Source organism: Homo sapiens, chromosome 22, assembly GCF_000001405.40.
Source record: "Homo sapiens chromosome 22, GRCh38.p14 Primary Assembly".
NCBI lineage: Eukaryota > Metazoa > Chordata > Mammalia > Primates > Hominidae > Homo > Homo sapiens.
The window spans coordinates 12,808,051-12,816,115 of NC_000022.11; the positions used below are offsets into that span (position 1 = coordinate 12,808,051).

General features: G+C 42.2%; 1 long non-coding RNA gene across 2 annotated transcripts; it reads right to left on the reverse strand.

Annotated features, from left to right (window-relative positions):
* Positions 1–1,897: 1,897 nt before the first annotated feature.
* LOC105379428 (uncharacterized) lies at positions 1,898–7,743 on the reverse strand. Of its 2 annotated transcripts, none has more exons than XR_001755412.2 (3): positions 6,945–7,743; positions 5,476–5,534; positions 1,898–2,045 (listed from the first exon to the last, which is right to left on the reverse strand). It is a non-coding gene; the product is annotated as an uncharacterized LOC105379428 (long non-coding RNA). The 2 variants fall into 2 exon arrangements; XR_002958734.2 differs by having other exon boundaries at positions 7,668–7,723.
* Positions 7,744–8,065: the final 322 nt, after the last annotated feature.

The following is an 8,065-nucleotide window of genomic DNA, read 5'->3' on the forward strand; positions in this document are numbered from 1 at the left end:
CCTGCCTCAGCCTCCTGAGTAGCTGGGACTACAGGCACCCACCACCATGCCAGGCTAATTTTTGTATTTTTAGCAAAGACGGATTTCACTGTGTTAGCCAGGATGGTCTCGATCTCCTGACCTCGTGATCCTTCCACCTCGGCCTCCCAAAGTGCTGGGATTACAGGCATGAGCCACCACATCCACCCTAATTATGGTTATTAAGTTATTGTAGACCACAGAAATAACCAAATTTCCTTGTCAATTGTCTTTATCTATAACTATTTAAAGTCATTTCCACAGTTAATTGCTTAATGGTGATGCAGTTTCTAAAAACTTCACAAGCATGCAAAATTCTAGAATATGGTGTCTCTTAGAAGATTCATGAAAGAATGAAAAGGATCCTGAAAAACACTCGTGAACACAGATTTTTAATAACTTTAATATAATGGGTAAAAATTCCCCATAAGTTCCCTGATACCCCAAGAATTGGACAGGTTAAGAATTCTCAAAAGTTAGGCTGGGTGCAGCGGCTCACGTTGGCAATCCCAGCACTTTGGGAGGCCAAGGCCAGTGGATCACTTGAGGTCAGGAGTTTGAGACCAGCCTGGCCAACGGTGAAACCCCACCTCTACTAAAAATGTAAAAATTAGCCGGGTGTGGTGGTATGTGCCTGTAATCCCAGCTACTCTGGAGGCTGAGGCAAGAGAATTGTTTGAAACCAGGAGGTGGAGGTTGCAGTGAGCCAAGATTGTGCCACTGCACTCCAACCTAGGTAACAGAGTGAGACTCTGTCTCGAAAAAAAATCCCAAAAGTTTAATAAATAGACCAACTTGTTTATAAAACTGCTAACCTAAGTAAAACAAAAATTGTATACCAAGGAAATATTTTGCCACATTTGCATGCTAAATCACCAATATTGAAATTGTTTAGGTATATAATTTAAATAAACTCCATGGTCTGAGTCAAATCACCTATAACTACTCATCAGTTACCAGTGCCATGCACGTAATTTGGAGAAACAGCTGGTATTCAAGAGGATGTAAGTCTAATGTTAATTAAGCACAGACTTATGAAGAACCAGGATGGCCACCTTATCCTTCTTAAGTCCTTAAAACTTTTGTTATTAAAAGTTCTGCATTCCATAACTCATCATGGAAAGAGAAAATGATCCAAATTAAATATATTGGTGTGGTGATTTCTAAACTGTTAAAATAGTTTATAACCAATGTTTAGTTTGTCAAACCTATATTTCTAGGAAAACAATCAAAACTTCAGGTACATTTGGTTACCTGATGGGCCATTTAAACATTTTATAAAGGGATTTGATTCAGTTGTCATTTTTAGTGCATGTTTTCTGATTGTATAAAAGCTCTTCCATGCGAGAGAGTTGATGTTAAAACAGTAGATTATTACCCTGAAGTGTATTTTCACCAGGTAAAGAAAGCCTTTTATGGTTCACTGAGGACAGTCAACCCCTTCAAAATCTGGAATCTGATGACTGGATCTTCTGAGAACATCAGAGAAGGACTGCCCTTGCCATCCACATGACAGCAAAACTTTAAAACCTTAAACTTTGGGTTCATAGTCTCACAACTCAGAAAGGTCCTTCCACACTTGGAACCATATACCCATTGGAACCCTTAAGGTAAAGCTAACAAGGACAGTTCCCCCCAGAAGAAGATGGCATCCTTAATGTGAACAGCTTTTCCCAAGATCACAGATCAAGACTTCTCTACTAACATGAGACACTTATCTTAAGTATCTGTGCAGCTGCTAACACTTACAGCATGTGGAGAAAACATGGGGTATTATAAAAATTTGGTTGTAGGGAATTAACAAAAAAACCCACTTAGTTAAGCAAGTAAACTCTTTATCTAATTCATTCTTTAATCTATTTTATTTTAGGTGGTTTGATTTATGGGGACCCTGAGTTAGGAGCATATACCAAATTCTTGGTGTTATCCCAACAGTCATAAGAGTCTCCCTGGTGCACTGTACTTACTCAAATGTTTTAAGAGTTTGCATGCAGGCATCTCTAAAATATCAAATGGTATCTCTTCAACTGGAATGACAAGAGATTAAAAAAAAGTGCAACCGTAAGGACACCATAACCTATGAGTGACATGCTAAACCGGAAACTCAAAACAATGGGGGTGACATGCTAAACCAGAAACCCAAAACAATGGGAGTGATGTACTAAAACGGGAACCCAAAACAATGGGAGTGACGTGCACTAAAATCAGAACCCAAAACAATGGGAGTGACGTGCTAAACAAGAAACCCAAAACAATGGGAGTGACTTGCTAAAACTGGAACCCAAAACAATGGGAGTGACGTGCCAAAAGAGGAAATGAAAACAATGGGAGTGATGTGCTTAAACCAGAACCCAAAACAATGGGAGTGACCTGCAAAACCAGAAACCCAAAACAATGGGAGTGACGTGCTAAACCAGAAACCCAAAACAATGAGAGTGATATACTAAAACTGGAACCCAAAACAATGGGGGTGATGTGCACTAAAATCAGAACCCAAAACAATGGGAGTGACTTGCTAAAACTGGAACCCAAAACAATGGGAGTGATGTGCTAAAACCGGAAATGAAAACAATGGGAGTGATGTGCTAAAACCGGAACCCAAAACAATGGGAGTGACCTGCTAAACCAGAAACCCAAAACAATGGGAGCATCCTGCTAAATCAGAAACTGAAAACAATGGGAGTGACCTGCTAAACCAGAAACCCAAAACAATGGGAGTGACGTGCTAAAACCAGAAACCCGAAACAATGGGAGCGTCCTGCTAAACCAGAAACCCAAAACAATGGGAGTGACGTGCTAAACCCGAACCCCAAACAATGGGAGTGACGTGCTAAAACTGGAACCCAAAACAATGGTAAGAGTGATGCTAAGGCCCTACATTTTGGTCACACTCTCAACTAAGTGAGAACTTGACTGAAAAGGAGGACTTTTTTTTCTAAGACAGAGTCTTGGTCTGTCCCCCAGAGTGGAGTGCAGTGGCACAATCTTGGCTCACTGCAAGCTCTGCCTCCCAGGTTCAGGCCATTCTCCTACCTCAGCCTCCTGAGTAGCTGGGACTACAGGAACCCACCACTATGCTTGGCTAATTTTTTGTATTTTTAGTAGAGATGGGGTTTCACCATATTAGCAAGGATGGTCTCAATCTCCTGACCTCGTGATCTGCCCAACTCAGCCTCCCAAAGTGCTGGGATTACATGTGTGAGCCACCACGCCCAGCCAAAAGGAGGAATTTTTTAAGCAAAATTATGGGAGGTCATTGTTTTGAACTAAACTCATGCAATAGGTCCCAACAGACCAAACCAAACCAAAATGGAGTCACTCATGCTAAATGTAACATAATGAAACTAAGACTTTAAAGAAACACATAAATCCTAGAACAAACCAGGTTTTGTTTTTCTCCTGTAAACAGGATGTTCCAGCATAAGAAGATACCTTCTACTCAAGTCCTTGTTCCACCTTTTCAAATCTCACTGGTCTATTTCCCAGTGGGTTTCTAAACCAAGTAAGTACATTTGCAATGGTAATAGTGACACCAGTGACTGAAGTTTTGGCCAATCTCTCAAAATTGAGAAAATAACCAAAGGGAAGGCATTGTTAAAGTGAACTAAGTATGGCCTGAGAAGGACTCCATAATTCTATATATGAGTCATTGTGGATGAACTGTAACCTACCTTAATAGGTATAGAAGAATGAAAAACTAACTTAAGAGTATGCACCTTGAACAACAGCTACATCTTGGCCAATCCCAATGGCCAAACTTCAACCACTCAGGCACTGGCAAATGTTCAAACTGTGTTCAAACAAGGCAAACACTGAGTTGTTTCTGTACCTCACTTCCGATTTCGGTATGCCATTTCCCTTTTGTCTATAAATCTTCTTCCACCACATGAATGCGCTGGAGTCTCTGTGAATCTGATGTGATTCTGGGTACTGTCTGATTCGTGAATCGTTTATTGCTCTATTAAACTCCTTTAAAGTTTTTCTTTTAACAGAACTAACACAGAAGAATTTCCAGATCATGAACAGATGTTTTGTAATACCCAACGTTGTAACATGAATAGACTCTCCCTTAGATAGCTAACCTTGTTTTTAATATGAATAGACTCTCCCTTAGCTGAGAAAACCAGACAAACTCCATTTGGCTCCTTCATTTACAAGACATCAAGGGCTCCCTACCCACCCCCTTTCCTCAAGGACTTTAACTTGTGCAAGTTGACTTTCAACATATCAAAGAGTGCAATTAACTGATAAAGTGCTTAGACAAGCGATGTCTGCAGTTCCCAGCAATTTATTCAGAGATAGTATCATAAAGCCCCACATTTGTCTGGCAGATAATGCCCAGAGCCCCCTCACCTATCACTTTGTGGTGAATTTAAAGCCCCTGCACCTGGAACAGTTTGTTTTCCTGTAACCATCTGTCTTTTTAACTTTTTTGTCTGTTTTTTTCTTCTGTAAAGTTGCTGCAGCTAGAATCCCCCCTCCCCTCTCTAAACCAAAGTATAAAAGAAAATCTAGTCCCTTCTTCGGGGCCGAGAGAATTTCGTGCATTAGCCGTCTCTCAGTCACCAGCTAATAAAGGACCCCTGAATTCGTCTCAAAGTGTGGCGTTTATCTCTAACTCACTCGGGTACGACAGTTTCAACTATGGTAGAAGACTTGAGTAAGTCAAATACAGTCCCCCTAAATTTGACTATTAATTAGGTTAATGGTGAGCTTAGAAGAAATAAGTTAAGACTACACAGAGTGGGCTAAAGTGCAAATAAACACTGGAAATATTTCCCAGAAAATATGACTTTGAACAGGCTGCTGCACACCCTGCATGTAGAGATAAACTAAGAAAAATGTCTGGAGAGTTATTTAAGGGCCTATGGTTAACTCAGTCGTCAAGATGTTCTGGGTTTCATCCATGAATCAAGGAGGACCTCCCAAAAGCTGTTTGGGACCACACTCTTTGAGCAATGAGCACACCTTACGATGGAAGCTGTGCTTTAGCGGCAGATGACCATTTCCACTGCACAACACGCCGTGCTTTAGCGGAAGATGACCGTTTCCACTGTACAACACTACAAGTGGTTACTGCCAGGCCGGTGTGAAATATGTTCCAGCACATAATCTATGTCACCAGTGAAGGTGGTGGTTCGGACTTGGTGCACACAATCTTTCCTGTCCCACAAGAACACAGCATGCTCTCTTCTCGGGTTCCATTCCAATTACGTAACAAATATGACTGCCTTTTTTGTCTCAGCATCAGAAAGATCAGAGGAAAATTTGCACCCAACTTAGACTACTCTAAGCTCTTATAACCTGCCTATATCTACAGGTCAGCTTTATCTTATTTATGTATATTTCCTTCAACCTGAGTTTTACTTATTTCTGCTTTTCCTTTTTAATTCACAGACACCCATAAACTCAGAAAATACAGTGTAAAACAAAGTGAAGAACAAGGAAGCAACTCACCAGAGATTTATTCGTTTCTTGTTGCTCTTGGAAACACCCAGAGGACACTGGAAACATAGCTGGGATAGAAGGCAAATGACGTGGATTAAGGAGAGAACTGGTGTGGTGTGGTCCCAGATTCTTCTGCCCAACGCTCTAGACACATTACCCGGAAAGCCCTCCTCCCTCCTGAAAAAGAAAAACTTCTCCAGGGGAGAAGAGTTCTTCACGCCTCATTAGGGGCAGCAGAGGCTCAAGTTAAGATAAGATACATAGACAAGTACATTAATTGGTAGACATTAGATGCACAATTTATTTTTGAATAAATATATGTATTACCTACTAATTTAGTAACAATATTATCTAAAGATATAATCTAATAATTTAATACAAAGAAACATAAGTTCACTAAAATAAATGTTATAGAAATATACTGGGCTGTATTAACTATTTTCCTATTAATATGTAGATTTCACAAATAACTTCATATGAGTGTTCCCGTGACAGTACCTCTTGATTTTCTACACCTGAACATCATGGAAAGTGCATCTAGCAAACCAGCAATTTTGGCCTACAATTACGCTTTTTAAAATGTACATAATGCGTATTGCCTACACTACACCATTCTACTCATGTTTCCCAATAACACCTTTCCTTCTATCCAAGCCCTCATATTATGCTCTGACAATAAATTGGGCTTTTCCATCTGACTTGTCCAGTGAATGGACAATGGAAAATGTGATGCAAATATCCATTGGTTCTTCCTTTTTTGGGAGAAATTGTGAAGAGGTCTGGAGCTACCCTGTTGGAGACACAGGGCCTAGACAAGAGTCACCACAAACCACCAGATTGTGAAGGAAACTATCTTAAACCAACCAGGCTCAGTCAAGGCACCAGGTGACTAAGGCCTTTTTGTGATCCAGGCAACACAAATATATCAACTACCCAGGTGAATCCACCACACCAAAATGCAGATCCACAGAACTTCAAACAAATAAAATGGTGGTTGTTTTTTATAAGCCAGTAAGGTTTAATTAGTTCCTTAAACAGCAAGTATTAACTGTTACACCTAAGTGAACAGAATTCACTTCTGTGTTTTTAACAAAATTATGTAGGGGGAGAAAATCTTAAATTACAAATCAAATACAATCAATAGAACTTCGCAATCTAATGCTAAATTTGGTGATGGACTAGGTTTAATATATCTCAGACGCGAAAAAACGAGCTAAGATTGAAGGAATGGGACTGTGTTTGGAGAGTATTTTAATCCTCTCAAGTATGACAGGTCACTCCTGTACCCCAGACCACACTTTCAGGCCCCTTCAAATAAGGAATATTTCCTAAGTCCTTGCCTGTTTTTCTCAGCTGAATTCACCTCAACCTTCTGAAAGTTCGTCCAAACCTTCTACTATCACCTAGTCTTTGCAAATCTTGTGCATTCTAGGGAGTAGAATTAATATTTCCTGAGCAAGGAAAACTGGGATCTTCACCTGTGACCTTTTTTCCTCCTCTGAAGCACCAGTGAGAGGTTAGACCAGACGGCTGTTCTTTCAAGTGTGCTTCTTATTCATAGGGAACCCTCCCTTTCAAACTTTCTAACACACAGTTAAGACTGAAGTACCCTTAAGGCTGACGACCATCATCTATTACGCCATCTCCCTCGCGGAATCAGTGAGTTCTTCCCTGGAAACTAGGTCTCGTATAAACTTCTGTAAATGCGACCCAGGAGGACTAGGCAGGTCACACAGTGAAGGAGGGAACCAGAAACTTCACTTGCTAAAGAGACACCAGGAAACCCAACTAATACAAACGTCAAGTTTAAGACTAGCGGCGCACGCATTTCACACTACTCCTCTGGGAATGGGGAACGTCTCCCGAGAACTGTGTGTTAGCACTGGGACAGATGGGCAAACTGAGCATCATGCGGGTTGGTAACCGTGTCCCTCAGCGGCAGGACAGGAGCACGGCCTGCAGACTCCGGGCCCAGGGCCACCGGCCTCTCCTACCCGCTCCTGTGTCTCTAGAACCCGCGTCACTGCTGGGCCCCCACGCCTGTCCTCCCAGCCCCCGCCAGGGTCGGCAGCCCGCTCCTGCTCTTCAGGCCCTGCCCTCCCTCGATGCGCCCACGCGTCTGCTCCCACAACTAGGGAACACTGGTCCGGCCCCCTGGGATCCCCTGAGGCTCACGGGTTCCTCCTGGCCCTTGCACCGACCCACAGGGACATAGAACCAAGCCCCAAGCCGGCCCAGCTACAGGACCGCCTCTGGGTGCCACACTTCCAGAGGAAAATGGCGGAGTGGGCCGGGTGGCGCATGCGCAGAGAGAAAAGCTGGTTCCCAAAGTCCTTGATGGTAACGTCATTGGAAGGTGACACTACAATTCCCATGAAGCTTTGCGGTCCCCCTTTAGGAACCCATGCCGGACATTCTGTTTTGCCCAGCAGTTGAGTCCAGTTACCCAGAGACCCGGACTTAATGTATCAGGACTGGTCCCTACCCAGGTGACACAGATGTGGCATTCTGGTTCTTTATTAAATACTGGTTTCACAGCCTGGGACATTGTGAAAATAATGGAGAAATTTCAATAGAGGCCAATTGGTCTATGCTATTA